The 21,552-nt window shown below is 33.9% G+C and overlaps 1 protein-coding gene across 33 annotated transcripts in view; it reads left to right on the forward strand.

Annotated features, from left to right (window-relative positions):
* MICU3 (mitochondrial calcium uptake family member 3) overlaps window positions 1-21,552 on the forward strand; it is a 111,403-nt gene that overhangs the window by 41,096 nt on the left and 48,755 nt on the right. For 25 of the 33 annotated variants that reach the window (XR_007060729.1, XR_001745514.2, XR_001745515.3 and 22 more), the window contains exons 3-7: window positions 1,355-1,386; window positions 9,450-9,528; window positions 13,360-13,407; window positions 16,903-16,985; window positions 18,631-18,702. Coding sequence is in view for 24 of the 33 variants with exons in the window: in NM_181723.3 (NP_859074.1) it covers window positions 1,355-1,386; window positions 9,450-9,528; window positions 13,360-13,407; window positions 16,903-16,985; window positions 18,631-18,702 (314 nt within the window). In the remaining 9 variants the exon portion in view is untranslated. The remainder of the gene's footprint in view (window positions 1-1,354; window positions 1,387-9,449; window positions 9,529-13,359; window positions 13,408-16,902; window positions 16,986-18,630; window positions 18,703-21,552) is intronic. The other 8 variants (NR_182123.1, NM_001413221.1, NM_001413222.1 and 5 more) reach the window with 5 other exon arrangements.

The following is a 21,552-nucleotide window of genomic DNA, read 5'->3' on the forward strand; positions in this document are numbered from 1 at the left end:
GGAAATCTCATAAACCCTGCAAAACTCAAGAGTACCTCTAACTTCCTCTTCCGATAAATACCTTCTGAGCATTGCATAAGAGCACGTGCATGTACTTTTCTACCATTTATTTTTCTTCTTTCCTTACTGCTATATTTTAAGAGCAACAGAATAATAAATACTATTTGTATTGTTCTGTTCATTGTTAAAAGGGAAGTGTCTTTGCACCAGTGTCATAGTTAAGTTTACATGCTAAATTCTAATTTGTAGACCTGTGATTTGAATCACTTGATTACACATTTGTATCAACTATCTTGGATAGATGAAGGATGTTGTTGCTACATAAAGAAGAAATCTATCCTTAGAAACATATTTCTTCTCTTTTGATTTTAAATTGAGTTGTTTTGTTGCCTAATAAAGAAAAAACTACACAGCAAAAATTGCTTTTTTTGTAATTTTGAATTTGATATATTGTTAATTATACAGAAATAGCCCCATTGCCAGGTAGAAGAAGATGTTGGTTGGCATTATTGTAATGTAGCTGAAATAATTAATATTAACCAGTTTCCTAATACAGCTGTATTACAGGGCTTAATCAAATGTAAACCTGGTGCTAATTCTTAGGCAGGCATTAAATATTTACAGTGTTCAAATGTGAGCAAAGGAAATAGCAATACTGACTATACATTTGTCCCAACATTTTAAGTTTTACAGTGTTTGAGATCTTTGGGGGTGTGAGGAGGAATCACAAAAAGAAAGTGATCCCTGACATTTTATTCAGCTGTAACACTCTTACTCCAGTGATGCTTCTTGAATAGTTGTAGGGAAGAGTAATGAAACAGGACAAGTTTCCCCATCACTTTGCCTAGCCTCCCTTTCCTTTCTTTTTTTCTTTCCCCAATCCTTCTTCATCCTAGAGAGACCTGACCTGTGAATTACGTCATGGAACACTAGTATAGCAAAGATCACAAGTAATACCTTAAAATTATAGTTTATCTATGTTAATGTTATTTTATATTCTAGTTTGAATATTTTATAAGTATCATTATTTGTGCTTTTAAGCCCACAAGATGTTTAACATGGAGAAAGTTAGCTTACTTTATTAGTCCAGAAAGCCCAAATTAAGATGATACGGCTGTGGAGAAATGTTTCCTGTATCACTGATACTTACTATGAACAGTGCATAGTATATATGAAGCAAATAGATAACATATATAAGATCATATCACAGATCCAAATTTTGAGGTTAAAAGAAAACTTTGCCTTTTGGACATAAAAGTTTGGTTATGAGTTATGGTTGTAGATGGTTAGCAAATATGGATATATATTCCATGAAGTATTTATTATCTAATTATCTTACATTTGTTTATTTTAGTTGCCAAAACTTGGAAGTCACTTTCCAAACAGGTGAGTTAAAGCTCTTGGTAGATATACACAAATTTTATATGTGCATGCATATATACATATATAATTAAAATATATTTCATAAAATATATTATGTATTTTTATATATTTTATGATTTTTTGGCAAATCAAATCACATCAGAGTTCCTTTTTTTATCCTCCAGATTGTCAGAAAATAAAAAGGTGGACGTTTCTAAGGGCTGGTGAAAATGTAGATTACTGGTAAATCTCATGTGTTGGTATACTCACTTTGGAAAACAATTTGGCATTATCTACTAAAATTGGCGATATGCCTACCCTATACCTAGTAAATACATGCCTGCATTTAAATTCTGCAGTAGTGCATGCGCATGTACCTTGTAAAGTTGAACTTGAATAGACTCTGTGATCTAGTAATTTCTACTAAATACACTGGTATCTAGCATATACCAGTGTATATACCTAGGGAAATTCTTGCTTATATGCAGGAGAGGTTCACAAGAATGTTTATAGATTATATATGATGGCCCCAAAACTTTAATATATCAATACTATACCATAAATAAATGTTGATATATTCATATAGTATACTACACAATAGTGAAAACAAATGAATTTTAACAGTGCTTTAACTAAATAAGTCTCAGAAACATGATGGTAAAGAAAATAAGCAGTTCAAAAATACAAAGTATAATTCTATTTGTATAAAGTCCAAAACTGAGAAAGTGAAATCATATTATTTAGGATACATTCATACGTGGGAAAACAAAGGAATAATTAACATTAAATTCAAGAAAGTATTCATCTTCAGGATGATAGCAGGGAATATCATCAGTGATGGGCTCAAAGAGGCTTTAAAGTACTGCTAATTTTCTATTTTTTAAGTTAACTATTTCTTAACTTTAAATTGCATATATATTCCTTTTATATTTTTATAGATATGTTTTTTTTTTTTAAAAAAAAGAATATTAGAAATCTAGGGAACGTCCTTAACTAGTTAAAGGGAATCCTCCAAAAGCCTACAGCAAATGTCATGGTCATTTGTGAAACTTGAGAGACATTGTCTTTAAAGTTAGGTATATTAGTCCCCGTTTATCAGTGGGTAATATGCTCTAAGACCCCTGGTAATGAATGCTGAAAATTTGGAAAGTACTGAACCCTATATGTACTATGTTTTTTCAGTTTGGTAGACGAGAGAACTACTAAGTGCCTAACAGGTGGGTAGCATATACAGCGTGGATATACTGGGTAAAGGGATGATTCACATCCTGGATAGGACAGAGTTGGACAGTGTGAGATTTCATCATGCTACACAGAACAGTGCGCAACTTAAAACTTAGGAATTGTTTATTTTTGGAACTTTCTATTTAATGTTTTTGGACTGCAGTTGACTGAGGGTCACAGAAACTGTAGAAAGCTAAGCCTCAAATAAGGGGGAACTACTGTACAGTGCAAATATGCCTGCTGTCACAACTGTTCCATAGCATTTTACTGGAAGTCTGGGCTAGTATAGTATACTAGGGCTGCTATGACAAAATATCACAGATTGAGTGGGTTTAACACCAGACATTTATTTTCTCACGGTTCTGGGGGCTTGAAGTCTGAGATCCAGGTGTCAGCAGGTTAGTTTCTTCTGAGGCCTCTCCCCTTAGCTTTTAGGTAGCAATCTTCTTCCTCTGTCTTCACATGGTCTTTCCTCTGGGCATGTCTGTGTCCTAATCTCTTCTTATAAGGACGTCAGTCATATTGGATTAGGGCTCATCCTGATGACCTTATATAATAACCTAATTACCTCTTTAAAGAAAGGTCCTCTCTGCAAAACAGTCAGATTCTGAGGTACTGGGGCTTAGGACTTCAACATATGAATCGGGGAGAGGGGCACAATTGAGACCATAATATGTAGTATGAAAAAAAGAAGAGGCTCTAAGGATTAGAATAGAGGCACAGAATAGAATGTGATTGGAAGAAAAATGTAAAAATACATAAATTTTAGATTTGTTTAAATTTAATAAAAGTTTAGCAAGATTGCTACTGGATATAACAGCAATAAACCAAAGTTAAGAAGATGCTCCACACCAGCGAGAGCAATTAGAAACTAGTATTGAATAAAATGCATTTCATAATAGAAACAAGAACTATTAGGTACTTAAAAGCAATGCCTAACAGAAGATGTACAAAACATTATTAAATTATGTTTTTAAAAATACAAGTAAATGGAGAACTGTATCATGTTCATACTGGTAATAAGCCATTTCCTTATGATAATGATCCTCCAAATCTATCTATAAATTCAATGTAACTCCAATTAAAATCCCAACCAAATTGATCCGAAATTAACTTTTAAAATTAATCTGGATGAGTAAGGGCCCCAAAATATTTAGAACAATTCTGAAAAGGAAAGAGGGAAAAAAAACCATTGAGATGAGAATAATGGGGTTGATCACATATCAAGATTAGAAATAGAGCTATAATAAATAAAGTAGTATTACATCATTGCAAGGATATTTTTAAAAACTAGATCAAGGTAATAGAATATAGAATCCAGAAACAGATCCAGGTATATATAGGTAGATCTGTAAATCAGTGGCAGAAAGATTGACCTCTCAATCATAGATGTTTGAATAATAACTTTTCCATGGAGGGGGCAAATTAGGCCTCAGATTTACTACCATATACAAAAACTAATTTCAGATGGATTAAGTTCTTATTTGTGACAAAAATTCTCTAAGATTAAAAGCAAAAATGAGAGGCATGAGAGGTTTTTTTTTTTTTAGATAAGACACAAAGCAAAACTCAAAATTATTGGCAATGTTTACTAAACTAAATATTTGAAAGCTTAGCATCAAAACACAGTGTAAACAATGTTAAAAGATGTATGATGGATGGGAGGATATGCATGCAACATATCAACAGAAGAGGGTAAGTGTCTTGCAGTCACGTAGAACCCCTTTTTTTATCTTTGTAAAAAAGATTATGGCTTAATAAGAAAAAAATAGACAAATATGCCTACAATGGCCACTGAATATATGTAAAGGAGGTGAACCTTACTAGTAACTTAGGGTGTGCAAATTAAACCAATGATACGATACTATTTGACACCCGCCAGATGGTGAGCTTCCAGAAATCTGACAATACCCATAATTAGCAAGGAGAACAAGAAGGAACCAGGTCAGAATATAAACTGGTGTATTTACTTTTTAATTTTTTTTGAGATAGAGTCTCTCCCTGTCACCCAGGCTGGAGTGCAGTGAGTGGCACGATCTTGGCTCACTCCATCTTCTGCCTCCTGGGCTCAAGTGATCCCCCTACCTCAGCCTCCTGAGTAGCTGGGACCACAGGCACACACCACCATGCCCAGCTAATTTTTGCATTTTTAGTAGAGACAGGGTTTTGCTCTGTCACCCAGGCTGGGGTATATTTACTTTTGAGTGAAATTTGGCAATACCTAATAATGTTGAAAATGCATATGAGAAATCCCTCTTGTAGAAATGCATACTAGAGAAATGTTTTCAGATTTGCCACAGAAATCCTATATATCAGATCGCCCCCTTCCCGTGAAGCTTCGTCTGTATTTACAGCCACTCTCCATCACTCATTGCTCACATTACTGCCTGAGCTCTGCCTCCTGTTAGATCAGTGGCAGCATTAGATTCTCATAGGAGCCCAAACCCTATTGTGAACTGGCATGTGAGGGATCTAAGTTGTGTGCTTCTTATGAGAATCTAATGCCTGATGATATGTCACTGTCTCCCATCACCCCCAGATAGGACCATCTAGTTGCAAGAAAACAAGCTCAGGACTCCCACTGATTGTACATTATGATGAGATGTATAATTATTTCATTATATGTTACATTGTAATAATAATAGAAATAGAGTGCACAATAAATGTAATGCACTTGAATCATCCCCAGAACATTTCCTCTTCCTCCCTCCTGGTCTGTGGAAAAATTGTCTTCCAAGAAACCAGTCCCTGGTGCCAAAAAGGTTGGGGACTGCTGCTATATGTGTTTCCTGAACATCAATTGTAATAGCAAAAATTTGGGAACAATATGTCAATCATCAGGCAGGTGAATGAAAAATTTGTGAAATAGAGAAACCCAGGATAAATGTAGAATTACAGAGTGAAAATGAATAAATACATTATAGCTATGTGTATTAACATGAGTAGAACTAGAAAACAAGGTTGAGTAAAAGGGCAAGTTGCAAAATAATATTAACTGACAGTCATTTAAAGTGCAAATACCTTTTCAAAGGTCCATGAAGTCAAAACTATTTTCATCATAATATTGAGAAGATACTTGTTTTATTCACTGTCATTCTCTCATGAGTGTATGGTGGAGTTTTCTTTTTCTTTTTGGTTTTTTTTTTTATTTTTTATTTTTAGTAGAGAGGGGGTTTCACCGTGGTCTCCATCTCCTGACCTCGTGATCCGCCCGCCTCGGCCTCCCAAAGTGCTGGGATTACAGGTGTGAGCTGCCGTGCCCAGCCTGTATAGTGGAATTTTCTAGAGGCTGTTTGGTAATGATGCCATTGCTCTACCAACTAATGGAATGTGTGTTTGTGTTTTATTGTGTTTTAAAAATTTGTTTTTATTTTCAAATAAATTAAATATTGATAGATATAACCCATATAGACAATATCTCTTTTGGGTCCATAATATTTTTAAGAATGTGAAGAGTTTCCTTTCAGAACTGCTACTATAGACAACTGCTGTGTAGCCATTAAAATAAAAATGAAGAATATTTGACAGGAAAATATGCTCACTATAATATATTAAATGTAAAGGGTAAATTATAAAACAGTATGTAGAGAATGATTTAATATTTGCAGCAACAACAAAAATACTATAGAAATATGCCTAGCTGGAGAATCAGACTAAAATGATGTTAAAACGTGTGTGTGTGTGTGTGTGTGTGTGTGTGTGTGTGTGTGTGTGTTTAACTTGCCACCCCTAGAGACAATTAACTTTAGTCTAAAACTTAAGTTTGTCATCCCTGGATTACAATTAGTTTTTATTTTCTGTACTTACTAATTTTTCTATAATATATATCTATTAACTATAATTTTTTTAATAGTACTTATTTAAGAAAATTACGTAACTCTTTTAAAAGGCAACTATAATTCTAGGAGACTGACTTTAATTCAGCAAATATTTATTTTCTACCTACAATTTAATTCTGACGCTAACCACTCCGAGTTTAAGCATGGTGCCTAACAAGACTGCCCTCATTTCAGATGCTTGTTGCAAGTTTCGGGGCTCCAGGCCACCCACACTCTGACCTTACTGTCTACAAGTCTAGGAGGTTGCCACAGCTCCCCTCAGGTTTAATGATTTGCTATAATGAATCATAGAACTCAGAAAATGCAGTACCTATGGTTATGGTTTTATTAGATAGAATACAGAGTAAGACCAGCCAGATGAAGAGAGAGGGCAAGGTCTGGGAAGGTCCTGAACACAGAGCTTCTATGCCTTCTTTGAGAACATGGAGTTGGGGTGTGTCACCGTCCTAGCACAGCAGCGTGTTCAACAACCAGAAAGCTCCTCTGAGCTTAGTGCTTAGAATTTTTATTAGGGTTTCATTACATAGGCATGATTGAATTATTGGCTGTGTGATTGAACTTAATCTGTAGCCTCTCTCTTCTCCCCAGAGGTCAAGCTCACTAAAGCCCCAACTCTGTAATCACAGTTATTCTTTCTGGTAAGCAGTTCCCCTCCTGAGTCATCTCCTTAGCATAAACTCGGGTATGAACCAAGGATTTAGAGTCTGCTTCCTAGGACCCAGGGACAAAGGCCAAATTCTTTATAATATGGCACTGCTACATACGAAACCAAGCTAGGAGTTTGGAGGAGGGAGAGAGATTCCTGACATGGGTGGAAATATAAAAAATTTAATAAATTTTAGAGGTCCTTAAAGTTAACAGAGAAGTCAAGATGAATGTGTTGATTGGATGATTTAGACCGGGAGAAACTAGATTATTACTAAAATAAGCTACTTGGTGTCAGTAAGGATCTGGGCTCTGTCATTTATTAGTTCTGTGACCTTGGGTGTTACTTATCCACTTTAAGTCTCAGTAAAATATGCATAATGAGGATTGTTTTTAGAATGAAGTTATTATATGAGCCTATTGTCAAACCCATAGAGGGCACCCAATAAAAGCTAGCTTTGATTTTTCAGTCTTACACTGTAGCTGAGTTTAAGTTAGAACAGATGAGGTTGGAAGACATGGAAACAGTTAAAATGGAGAAAGATTAGTTAATATTTATACAGTTACAATAGAGATGGTATAAATTAAGCTATGTAAAATTTATTCAGAATGTTGTTTTTTAAGTTTTTTTATATTTTTTTGAGACAGGTCTCACTCTGTTTGCCTAGGCTGGAGTGCAGTGGTGTGATCATGGCTCACTATAGCCTCGACTTCCTGGGCTCAAGTGATTTTTCCACCTCAGCCTCCTGAGTAAGCTGGGACTATAGATGAACGCCACCATGCCCAGCTAATTGTTTGTCTGTTTGTTTGTTTGTGAAATGGGGTTTTGCCATGTTGCCCAGGCTGGTCTAAAACTCTTGGATTCAAGGGATCTACCCACCTCAGCCTCCCAAAGTGCTGAGATTATAGGCCTGAGCCACTGAGTCCCACCCAGAATGTTTTATTTAATCTCTCAATCTAACAAAAATATTTGAGTTTACTGTTGTCTAAACAATAAACATCCCAGTTTCTCATTACAATTCGGACCTGAATTATTCTGTGCCATTCCTATTCTATAATCAGATGCACTGATTATCTGCTGGCATCTTTTACCTGCAGTGCAGATACAGAAACATGAAAAACACAAACACAAGAATCCACATATGGGCTTCAAGGTGTCCATAAATCCCCTAAAAATGCTGTTCCTGCCTTTGACATACCAAGAATTTTTCTTCCTGCTAGCTCAGCTTTGCAGTTAAACAAAAATGATTTATAAATGTCAGAAAGCATTTTTAGGTACAGCTGCGTCAGAAATGGTTTGTCTGAAATGCCTTCCAAACTTCAATGTGTGTAAAAATTAGAAGATGTTGTTAAAAATGCAGGTTGTGGTTCAGTAGGTCTGGGATGGGCACTGAGATTCTGCATTTCGCACAAGCTCTCAGGTGATGCTTAAACTATTGGGGAGCCACATGCTCTGAGGAGTGGGTGTCAGATCTGAAAATAGAAGTGGGTTCTGTGTTTGTCTAATGTGTTTCTAAGCAGACTAACTTTGTTGTTTCAAATTATTTCAAGTTATCTCACCGTCTTTTAATCATTTTTCTTCACAATTAATCAAATTATAGTTTTCACTTAGTCGTTTTTAACAGACTATACACAATAAATTCAAAATTGATTTAGCATATGAGTAATGATTCAAATGTCTAAATTCTCCAGTAGTTTCCGAGCAGCAGTGATAGTTTGAGTTTTTTAAAAAAGAAAAAGCTAAGCAGCAGTTGAAGTCTGTGTTCTTTAATATTTAAGTTAAAATTAGAAACAAATTGAAACAGTGACCACAATAACTCAGTACCCTTGTCTTTCTGCTTCATCCATTGTTATCATTCTCTAAGTCACTAACCGTTAAAATACTCTTCATTCCTTTCTAACATAATTCTTTGTTCATTTACTTCCTCTACACAAAGTTCTCTAATTCCAAATGTGTTACAAAGAAGAGACATTACGTGAAGCCGGGTGATGTGACCATCTCCGACCTTGATATGGAAATCCATGTTTTTCCATGATTTTCCTAAAACGATTCCTTTATAACTGGCTCCAGGACTTAAACTCACTGTTTTATCTTGATTTGGTTGTCTTATGTATAACCTCCCGTTATTCAACTTATCTGAAATTTTAGTTAGCTCTAATTAAATTTAATGTAGCCTCTTCATCATTTATTTTATGTTTGAACTGTGGGCAAATACTGGGTTGTGTGCTTGAATGAACCACAGGCATAACATAGGATAAATAATGCCATGTTTCAGGTCTTTTAAGTGGAGAATTTGGCATGGACATTTAAACATGTTTTTGATCTATTTTATTAGTAAGTTGTTTACCAATTCATCAGTAGTATAACTTCTGTCATAGGAATTAAATCAAATGCTCGCAGAAACACCACCAGTTTGGAAAGGCTCATCGAAGCTATTTCGAAATCTTAAAGAAAAAGGTGAGTTAACCTTAGTACTTGTTCTTTTTTTAAACTATATTATGTATACTATTTATATATGCATATTTTCCCATACCTAAAATAATTTTTAAATTACATCTATGTGTATGCATAGAGAAAAAACTGAAGAAGAAAACAGCAAAATATTAACATTTCTGGGTATTAATGTTGCTCTTGGGTAATTCCACCCTTCATTAAGGGTGGTTTTCATGTTATTGTTTATATATTATTTGTATCTTCCAAATTTTTTTATATCAGATTGGACTTACATAGTTTAAAAAATTGTTCTTCAACCATATCAAAAAGTATATTTTATATTTACCCAAAGAAAACATTTCACAAAAATACTAGATCTTCAAAGGTCTATTTTTCTTCCTTCCATTTTGCTCTGAGTGAATTATAGATGCTCCTAAACTAATTAACAGGAAAAATTTAGTGGATGTGTCCTTTGACAGCCTAATTTGGACATGTTTCCTTTAAAGGCCAACACTTACTGCAAATATACCTGTTTCAACTTACTCTATTATCAATATCAATATTAGCTTAATTCATTAATTTAAACATTTCCTGGCAATCAAATTATATGGCTTTTATTGTAATTTTCTTTTACAGGGTACCTTTTTACACATTTGTAGAAAAAATTTATTAATCTTTTTAATCTTAAAAAGTAATATTTCTTGGAAATGTATTTTTTGTATCCTCAAATACAGGAATATGCAAAATAAAAATGTTAAAGAAATTACATAAGCAGTTATATTTTCCCTTTTCATCAATTTTAACCAATATTGGCTTGAAAATAATGTACTTCAGCCTGAAGACAAATACTTTGAAGGAGTAGTTATAATTCATATATTTTATTTAAGTAGAATTAGAAAGTTCATATTGCTTCCACGTGGTTTACATAGAATCTGAAAGGAAGAGACACCATATCTTTTATTGTAGGTGTTTCATAAGTAAGATTTTTAAATCTTCAAGAAACCTAGGCCAAAGTGTCTTAAAAAAAATCTTAGAAATTTTTTTCCTAGATGTTGTCTTAAAGATTGCCATTCAGATCTTAGGGTGAGATAATAGGATGAGGAAAATTCAAAGCTCATAAGGATCAAGTAAGTATGGTGAATTTCAAACATTTTTCTTAATATACCTCATGGGAAAATACAAATTGGATCAAATATAATCTGAGAAAAATAATGCATAGAAGAAAGAACCTTTTTTAAGTTAAGGGGAGGGTTTAATCTGGAAGTCCTAGGTTTAGGCATATCCTAATCCTTCTCATGTTATACACATGTTTGCATTTTTTTCCCCAGGGGATAGAATCTATGCTGCACCACTATGACGGAAATACTCTGTTTCTATGCTGTCTCTTATGGTAGCTACTAGCCGCATATGGCTGTTGAGCACTTGAAATGTGTCTAGCGTAACTGAGGAACTTATTTTTAGTTGTATTTGATTTTAAGTATTTTAAATTTAAATAGCTACACCCTGTAGTACAATGCGTATCTGTATCATATTAATTAGATCATCAGGGTGATGCATGATCCCAGAAAGTTTTAGAATCATTAGGTTAGGTAAAATAGAGAAGTTAGAAGAGCCTTGCTTTTTTTAAATAGCGATTAAGTGGCAGAGAAATTTTAAGACTAAATCTTTAGAGCTATTGAAGACTAATTTTATTTTTATTTTTGTTTTATTTTATTTATTTATTGAGTCAGGGTCTCATTTTGTCACCCAGGCGGGAGTGCAGTGGTGCCATCATGGCTCATTGCAGCCTTGACCTCCTGGGCTTAAGCGATTCTTCCCCCTCATTTTTTGAGTTTTTGTAGAGACAAAGTCTCACTTTGTTGCCCAGGCTGGTTTTGAACTTCTGGACTCAAACGGTCCTCTTGCCTCGGCCTCCCAAAAGTGCTGAGATTATAGGTGTGAGCCACCATGCCTGGCTAAAGACTAATTTTAAAATTGTAAGTTTATCTACTTAAAATATTACCTCGAGAGAAAATGTTATGCATTTAAATAATAAAAAAATTGATATGCATTCATGAAAACATGTATTGTAGAGACTTAATTATAACAGCCAACTGCAATGTATTGTGTATAGGAATTAAACCATGTAATGCTTTTAAGGAACTTCCCTTAAAATTTGTTTTGATTGAATTTTCGAAAGAAACCTAGTTGGCATCTTTCTTATCCTCTGTTTCTAAAGATCACACCATTACTATATGCCTAGCTTTTTTTTTTGTATTTTTTGATCCTGCACGCCATAAATAAATTGAAGAGTTAGTTTTATAGTATTCTGTTTGTATAATTGGAAAGCATTAAAAATATACCGTTCATCTTCAGTAGTATTTTCTCTTTTCCTTGACCATTTTTATTAAATTATAATATATCATGGGTTTCACTTCATTTTTCTTCCCTGTGGTTTAAGCCACTTCAATCACCATGTGATCCTACAGACAAACGCCTACCATGATATTCATGGTCTGGACACTCACTATTAAGTAGTCCTTTCCTTGAGGGAAATCTTGAGTTAACTATCAAATAAAAGATGCATAACAGTTATTAAAGTTCTTTATACCAACCAACATCTCTTGTGTATTCTACCAGGTCAACTAGAACAACAGTTAGTGAGATGGGATTATGGAGACAGCATGCCCATTTCCCATCCCATTTCCTTTTCTCGCCCCTTCTTTTATGCTCTTCTTTCATTTTTTGAGGGATCCCTACAGACTCTTAAGTATTGTATCTTTATATACATTGACCATTCCAGAATCTTTCTCCCATAACATTCATGGCAATCAACCAGAACTATCTGTCTATAGGTCACAATATTCTAGTATAAACAAAAGAAGGGAATGAATGCTTTCAGGGCCTCCTGGCTAGTGCCCTTCATGTCTCTGACAAACTGCCTGACAGTGACTCCTCTTCTCTTTGTTCTGTAACAAAGAAGACAGCCTCAAAGAACATCAGATAAAATGGAGTTTTAAAGTTCACAATCTGGTTATTTTAAGGATTTTTATACCCTTTTACCAAGCGTCAGAACTATCTGATATCTAAATAAGTATTGTAGATACAGATTACTGATGTCAATCTTCTCAGTATCTACTTGGAAGGTCAGTTGAAGCACTAAATCTAGTTTTGGGTTTTGTATTCCAAAAGCAAGAATTCAAGTAACAGAATGCACTTTTTTATTTACTTCAAAAGCACTCCTTTTGAAATTTGCAAGTATGGAGTTACTGAGAACTCAGGATGCGATGTACAGAAAGTATAAGCCATTTAATTACAATAAAAACTCCTCAGGGTACATTTAATAGAAGCATTGAAGATAATTTGAAAGCAGAAAAGTGGTAACTATAGAGCTTTACTCTTAAAATGCGAAACATCACATTTCTAAGTAACAGGGTCTAAGTGTTTTATCCAAGTGTTACTAAAAAGTAATTAAGCACTTTACAGTGTTAATTAACTATTTCCAACCTTTTTATTTTTACTTGTTTTTTCCTTTAAGCTCTGTTGGACTTGACAACTTTTTTATTTTGTGTTAAGAGTCGTACATTAGAAACTAGCAACAAGTTTAAAAGTTACTGCTATACGTATGCATTATAATTTTGCTTTTTTTGCCAATATATTTGAGAGCATAATGATTTTATATGGATATCTACAAAGGCATGTGGAACAATTAAAGTAAAATTAAATTTGTTGCTTCTTTTGTTATGATTTTATAATAATGATTGTCATTTAAAATAATATCTAGCATCTATTTTAAACTACAAGCTCATTATTTATAGCATTTATTGCTTCTAGAACAATATTTTATATATATAACTGATACTATTTTTCTTGTAGGTGTGATTTCTTACACAGAATATCTTTTTCTTTTATGTATTTTAACAAGTAAGTATACTTATTGCTTTTATTTCTGGATGCAGCTTTATTTTTTAAACGAATCTTGGAAAGCAGATCTTAGGTTCTCTTACTCTTGAAAATCAATATCCATGCTGTTCTGCAAAATTCATGTTTAATGCTACAGAAAAATGCTAAGCATAGCACTGTAAAGAGTCAAAAACATAAATGCTACAGCTTATGGTATAGTAATAAATGCTCATAAATTATAAATTTAATATTACGTGTCAATTCTTGTGGTTTTAATCTACCTCAGACTCCAAAGGTCATGACATGTAATAATTTATAAATTCCCTACTGTACTCATTTGAATCATATTTTCTGCCAGACTGATGTGAGAGAGAGTGTCTCTTAACTATTGAGTCTATCAGAATACCCATCATTCACATCTAAAACTTCTATTTTCTCCCTGTCAGGTGCAGCATTTCTTAGGAAATATATGAAGGGTTTACTATGTTTTCAGTTAAATTTCTTTGCATTTAATGGAGACAATCTGTTATAGTTTACTGTGTTCCAGCCACCTGGCCTTTCTATTCCTTGAATTGCCGCCTCAGGGATTTGTACCTTCTGCTTCCTGTGCCATCAGTACTTATCCTCAAGATCCCCGTGATAATAAACATCATTTAGGTTTCCTTTCAAATGTGAAAATTTAGCAAATCCTTACTTGGCCAGCCTCTCTAACATAGCTCCCTCTCTCTTTGTATCTCTTTACTGCGTTGCATATTCTTCATATCAGACTATTTGAAAGTATTATTGGTTTACATGTTCTTGTCTCCCCACACTTGAATGCAAGGTCCATTATGGCAAAGATTTTTTCTTTTTTGTTCATCTCTGTATCAAGAACAGTGTCTCGCACATGGTACCCTTCCAAAAAGTAGTTAGTGAATGAATGAAGAAAGGAATACATGAAAGAATACTGCTAGTGGAATTTCCAGTTGTGGAGATATGTGGAGATGCATGGAAACAAGAACATCAGTAAAACTCTGTCATTAGAAACAATCTAAAAATACCTTGTACTTCTTTGATTAAAAAATTCACACCACTGTGTTATTCTTAACTTTGTAACTTAGCGAGGAATGACGTTAACATTGAGTTCTGTTACAGTAAGTTTTGAGAACAAGGAATGTGTACATGCACTCACATATGTGTATTTCAAAAAATATTTTTTTCTCTTGGACTTGTCACCTTGCTCACTGACTAGACTGAGCCAATTTATCAAGACGGGAATTACAACAGAGAAAGAGTAATTTACACAGAGCTGGCTGTACAGGAGACTGGAGTTTTATTTTTACTCAAATGAATTTCCCGAGCATTCAGGGATCAGAGTTCTTAAGGATAATTTGGTGGGTAGTGGGTGGGTGAGTCAGGAGCTCTGGTTGGTCGGGTCAAAGATGAAATCATAGGGAGTTGAAGCTTTTCTCTTGAGCTGAGTCAGTTCCTGCGTGAGGACCACAAGACCAGATGAGCCAGTTTATCGCTCTGTGTAGTGACAGCTGATCCATCAAGTGTGGGGTCTGCAAAACATCTCAAGCATAGGTCTTAGGTTTTACAATAGTGATGTTATCCCCAGGAGCAATTTAGGGAGGGTCAGAATCTTGTAGCTCCAGCTGCATGACTCCTAAACCATAATTTCTAATCTTGTGGCTAATTTGTTAGTCCTACAAAGGCAATCTAGTCCCCAGGCAAGAAGGAGGTTTGTTACGGGAAAGAGCGCTTATCATCTTTCTTTTAAACTATAAACTAAGTTCCTCCCAAAGTTAGTTTGGCCTAACTAAACAAGAAGCAACTGAATGAACAAACACAGCTTGGAGATTAAAGCAAGATGGAGTTGGTTAGTCAGATCTCTTTCACTGTCTCCATTATAATTTTGCAATGGCAGTTTCAGACTTTAAATGAAATTAAAATGTTAGTGCTGAAGAACTAGTATTGTACCTTTTGTAATAGGGCTACCTGAGGTTGATCCATTCTGCAAAGCCATAGTAATGAAGCAAGTCCAGTCAATGATGCTATCCTGAGAATGAGAGAGGGTGCAAAGGAGTGTCTCAAAGATGTGTTGAAAAGTTACCTTGTTTGACAAAACAATGATGGATCCGATATTAGAAGTTAAGCTAAGTACCTAAACCAGCAGAGTGATAGGCAAGGATAAGAAGTGTTGGCTAGGGTAGCCAATTGTTGAGATGGGACAGGGTATAGTTTAGGAGGGTCAGAAAAAACATACATAGTGCGTTTTGGCACAGAAAGGTTAGGATCTTTGGGTGCTGTGAAGCTTCCTTTGGAGTTCAGGACTCACCAACAGAAGCTTCTAAGGAGGTTGAATTGAATAATTATGGGATATTGTTTACATTAGAACTAAGAAAACTGTGAAAAGAGGGCTGGCAAGAAGTGGGCTACATAATCTTGGTTACCTATCTATAAGTGTCTCCCTCTTTACTTTGTACTGTATTTTTCCCTCCAAACAATGCTTGTAAGGAGGACTTCTTTTCTGTATGTATTTTCAAGATCTTTTTAAAGTGTAAAACTCGGTTATTAGAGATGTTGTAAATTTGTATTAGATTTCTGAAATACATGCAACAAGTGAGCTTGCATAAAGGATTGGCTTCTGTTTCTGTTATTTTCAGAAACAGCTGTTACTAGTTAAGAAAGTAGGACACTATCTGTGCCTCTTTTGCAGGTTCAACATTTCACAACAGGTGGTAGCAAATGTATCTGTGGGGGGTCCCTTTTTCAACTTTGTACCCCTCCCCCCGGTCATCTCAAAAGAAAAGATCCAGTGTTTTGAGAAGGGCACGTCCACTGAGCTGCTCTTTGAAGGACACTTTCAAGTTTTCTTCTGTCCAAGTTTTCTCCTTTATGCTCTAGAAGTGAAAAGGAGAAAGAGATTGAACCTCATTATTATAAGGTTCATGAAATTGAAGCACTTCATAGTATGTGAAAGTCTTTTTCAGAAAAGCAATTGTTCCTTGTATTTTGGGGGAATTGATAATTACATATTCAGTCTTCTTTTGTTTTATATTTCTGTTTTTGAAGCCTCTAGAAGTTTAAACTATAATGTCTTATGCTTGACATTTATTTTCATAGGTCATTTTAGTTATAATTTTCCCAAGAATCGGAACTAGTTCATTGTGTCATGTTTTTTTTCTGCCAATCTAAGTAGCTGAACATATTGAATATATTTAAAATGTGACGAGTTGATATTTTCCTTTAAAACAAACTAACAGACTTTGGATTAAAAAAGAGAAGTGCTTTAGGAAAGTATTCAAATTTTTCTCTCAGTGCTATGCAACAAGTATCACAGAAGTACTTTTAAAGTATATTATCAATTTTTATTAAGTGTACTAATTATAAAGCAGAAATATATATACTTTTATACGCTTTCTACTATCTTTAACCAATACAGAATATGAGTAACTTTACAACTAATATGGATTTTGTACTTTAAAATACATTTTTCCATTTTGTGAATACCTTCTCTGTTTTTTCTGGCAGAGCCACATGCAGGGTTCAGAATAGCTTTCAACATGTTTGACACTGATGGCAATGAGATGGTGGATAAAAAAGAGTTTTTGGTGGTATGTATACTAGATGCTGCACTTTATCAATAATTAAATATTGCTTACTTATATTTTTATGTTTTTGCCTTATTGGGAGTACTACTGTAGAGAAAAGAGTGAAAAACTTACGCTTTTGCCTTTACTTAATAAAGTATAATACTCAGGTACTTTGAACAATATTTACATTTTACAAATATAAATTACATTCAGTGTATGATGATGATTATCGTTGTTTTTTACCTTACATAAAAGTGTGAAATGTATCAGGTGTTTTCTGTTGGGTGGATAACAGGCAGTCCTCAGGTTATACATGCCCAATTAATATTCAGTCCCCATTATGTCATCCACCTAGGCACACAACTCCTTCCATAGGAACTTCTCTTCCTTCTCAATATGGGATTCATGTTTTTTCTTTCTCTTTTCTCTTCCACTTACTCCTGCCTTGCATTCCAGTCTTGTCCCCACTTCCCTGTTCCTTTCTGTTATCTTTGACCATAGGCTGATAGTTCTTAGATATTTACCTTTTGATGTTTCTTTGATGGGTCCAGCTCTGGCACTGGTCTGACAGTGAGTTCAGTTGCTCACTCAACTTCACATACCCTGCTTCCAGAATTTTTCTGTTTGTTTTACCCATATATTTTGCATCTCTTTTTGTGACAAAATGCCTAGTATATTTTTTTTCTCTGAAATAGAAAATACTATTAATGTATTCCTTAGAGTAACATGCTCTGCTTTTAGCATATATATTACACTCTGTCTTTACCTACACTCTCCGAGTAAAAAGAAAGGGAAATCAACAGCCATTTTCTTTTCTTCTTTTGTTTTCTTTTTAAATTATGGCCCTACCTCCTGAACAGCCATTTTATTTTCTACTTTTCCTTTGTAACATAGCTGTAAAAATTCCTCAGAAAACCTCTGAAAGAGCTTCATATTTACTTCAGAAGCTGAAACTCAGAGGAAGTCTATGACATCATTCTTTTTCTTAGTAGGAAAGAGAAAATATAAAAATCCTCATCAGAAGCTAACTAGTAGCCATTCAAAGGGAAACAAGCAGACTGATTACTGGGATTTATCAGTAGGCTTAAACTCTCACCCACGCAGCCCTTGCCCACGTGTAGTCCCTGAGCCAAGCCACTGGAGCTGGAGCCTTCATTCCAGTGCTTTGCAGAATGATGGGGAGATGGCGGTTTTCAATTTGATTACAATAGATATAGATGTGTTTCTGCCATCCGAAAATGGCCAAGGTTAGTGTTGCTTTCTTATGATGGTACACAACTGTATTTTAGGAACTTTCAGAATGGGCCTGTTTTTCTGCAGAACGTTCTATGTCCATACTGCCAAGTTCCATCCCCCTGACTTAAAGTAAAAGATTAACTTTTGGAACTCACTCCTTTGGAAGTTGCCTGTGTGGATGTCTGCATTTTAGAGAAAAAGTAAAACTGTGACATTAAGTACATTTAACTTAATTATGGGTTACCAATACCAAAGGATATATCTTCTTGGGGGAAAAAACTGAAATCAGAAAATAGATCTATAGCAGTTTAAATGTTCTTGGTGGATGAAGCTGTTTTCTTTGTTTTTGGAATATACCTAGTCCAGAATAGTAGATAGGTGCCCAGAAACTCTTGTTGGATATTTGATTCTTGATTGATTTCTTTGTCAGCTTCAAGAGATATTCAGGAAAAAAAATGAAAAGAGAGAAATTAAAGGAGATGAAGAAAAGCGTGCAATGCTGGTAAGAATACTTTATAGTAGCTTTAGGTGGCTTTTGTAGGCAACAATTATTTTATTCATGTTAAGAAACAATAATTAAAGTTTGTAACTTTGAAGCTGTCCCTTTCTTGAAAACTTTGTAAAGTTTTTATGTAGAAAAATTGCTTCAGTATTTATATGCATTGATATCAATATTTACTTCAAATATTGATATTAAACATTTGTATCCATAATCATTCATTAAATCATTTTCATCCATATTGTTATCTGTGAGATTTGAAGGGTATATCATACAATAGATTAATACAGATCATTATGCATGTAAAAATTTAAAGGTGAATTGCAAAGATTTAATTATAATGTGAGAGAATTTAGTGGTAATATAACAAGGTGACTGTCGAAACGAATAGAAGGAGATGATATGTTTTCTTGCATTCTTAGATGTATATATTAGAGATTCTTCTTCTGGGATATATAATATTTTCATCTTTTTCTGAAGTTAGAGTTAAGCAACATTACCCTCCATCTTCCTAACCAGTTTTCTTTTTATCTGAAGTATTTCAGCCTGACCATAGGCCAGGTTCACATAATAAAAATAACAAACAGGTACTAAGACCTTACAAACGGACACTATACTAGGTGCTTTCCATACATTTCTGATTTAAGCTACCCAACAATTCTCTTAGTATCCATAATTATAGATGAGGAAACTGATAATTGGGAAGGTTAAGTATCTTGTCCAAAGTTACATAGTTATTAAATGGCAAAGCCAAAGATTTGAACCTGTGTCTGGCCAACTCCAAAACCTCACTTTTATCCATTGTGACATATTTCTTTGTCTGATACTTAGATAACCAGAAATACAGTGAATTTTGTTGGCATGTAAATGACATTTGTTTCATTTGCAAATTGATGGCCCTGTGCAGTAGTTTAATTGTCCTACATAGAATTCAGATAACTAACTTCAGAGAGCTAAAACTTTATTTTTATTATTCTCATTTTTATAAGAATATGTATTAGGTTTTTCTTAACATAGATTATTATCTATAGCAGATGGGTGCCATATTCAATCCCAATATATTTATGAAGTGTACGTTTATATTTAGTTGAATGAAAGCAGATTATCAGGATTATATAGCACATACTGCTTTACAGGATATTTGACCATGCTATAATTCTTAGTAGTCATTGAACATCCCTCAGTATACTATTGACAAAGCTTATGGAAGACAGTCTTAAAAAATCAAAGAGTTCATTGTAATGTTAGTCAAGTATCAAAAGGGGCAGTAGTAGTTCTCTACTTAATTCAGGTCTCATGATTTTCAAATTGTAATTAATAAATCCTACATGAATAGCCCCATAATTGCAACTGTTTAGAGTATTAGCAAAGAAGACTAGAGAATTGAATACTTTCTTAAATTTTATTTCTTGTAAATAATATACTAAATGAGTAAACAGTTATTTTAATTTTGATATATTACCTCTAACTATAATTGACTGAATAGGCAAGTTGTTAATAAAATACTATTTAAGGAGGCTGAATAATGTTAATGAATCTATTGATATACTTTAATGATAAAGTAGATAGTATTTCAGTGGATATAAATATAATTGTTTTATTTATTTGTTTATTTATACTACTTCCAGAGAGGACTTACACATCTTCCAGTAAAAATACAGTATTATTCTGGTCATTAACATTTATTAATACATCCATCAAGTAATAAAGGGAGATAAAAAAGAGAAAAATATTAGCAGACAATGCACACTGAGAAAACCTACAGTGTTAGCACAAAATTTGGCTCTGAGCGTCACTGCAGCCAAGGTATAAGAAATTTAATATTGATTTAATGCAAATATTTTATAATAGTGATAGAGTAAAACATCATTAACTTAGATTAATTAGGGAAAATCCATCTGAATTATATAATCTAAATTATACCAGCATACCCTAAGTTGTATTATTTTATTTTATATGGGTTAATGAACCATTCCCTTTCAAATATATGGAGAAGGAGATTTGTTTTAAAGAACAGATTAAAATAACTTTTAAGTAATATAATATATAATTTGTTTATTTATAAACGAATGCTTACTAAAGTCTTTGATATCCACAGGTACCTCGGAAGTATTCGTTTTATGTAACTTAAATAGCGCTTCTAAAATCTTACTTTTATAATGTAGCTATCAGAGCTCTTCCTTAAAACAATTCAGAAATAATCTTTAGTACAACTTTGGAACTAACAGCACTTTACACTATAGCTCTCCAAATAGTCATTACTGTGTTTAGCAATAATGATAATTAGTGTTAACATTGTTAATCACATTTTAAATAATGCAAATCTGAACCAGGGAGGTTTTATTTTATATTACTTTAGTTATCAAAGATTTTAGTTTTAAAGTTTTTTTTAGTTATACTACTTTACTTAGAAAACATTATGTAAAATGTAAGGTGATGTTATCAAGGTGATAGAAATGACAATATGATTCCACATATTCTTAGAATAGTTTGGCTGAGTTCTGAGGCAATTAAAATTTAACTTATTGTGAAAATATATGAATTACATAAGAGAGAGAGCATAGCACAGGCTCAGGAGCCAGATTTTTGGGGTTTGAGTATTAGCCCTGCCACTCATTACCTGGATGACCTTGGACAATGTCCTTAACCTCTCTGTTCCTCAGTTTTTTTTCATTTGTACGATGGGGGCATTAGGAGTAATGACCACATGTGATTGGTATGGAGGTTAAAGCACATAGCTACTTAACCATGTGAAATGTAATAAACACTCAAAAAGGTTAGCTAGTAGTGAAACTTATTCTTTAGTTAGTAGAACCATGTAGCTACTTTAAACTGAATCTTAACATACCTAAA

Source organism: Homo sapiens, chromosome 8 (genome assembly GCF_000001405.40).
Source record: "Homo sapiens chromosome 8, GRCh38.p14 Primary Assembly".
Taxonomy (NCBI): domain Eukaryota; kingdom Metazoa; phylum Chordata; class Mammalia; order Primates; family Hominidae; genus Homo; species Homo sapiens.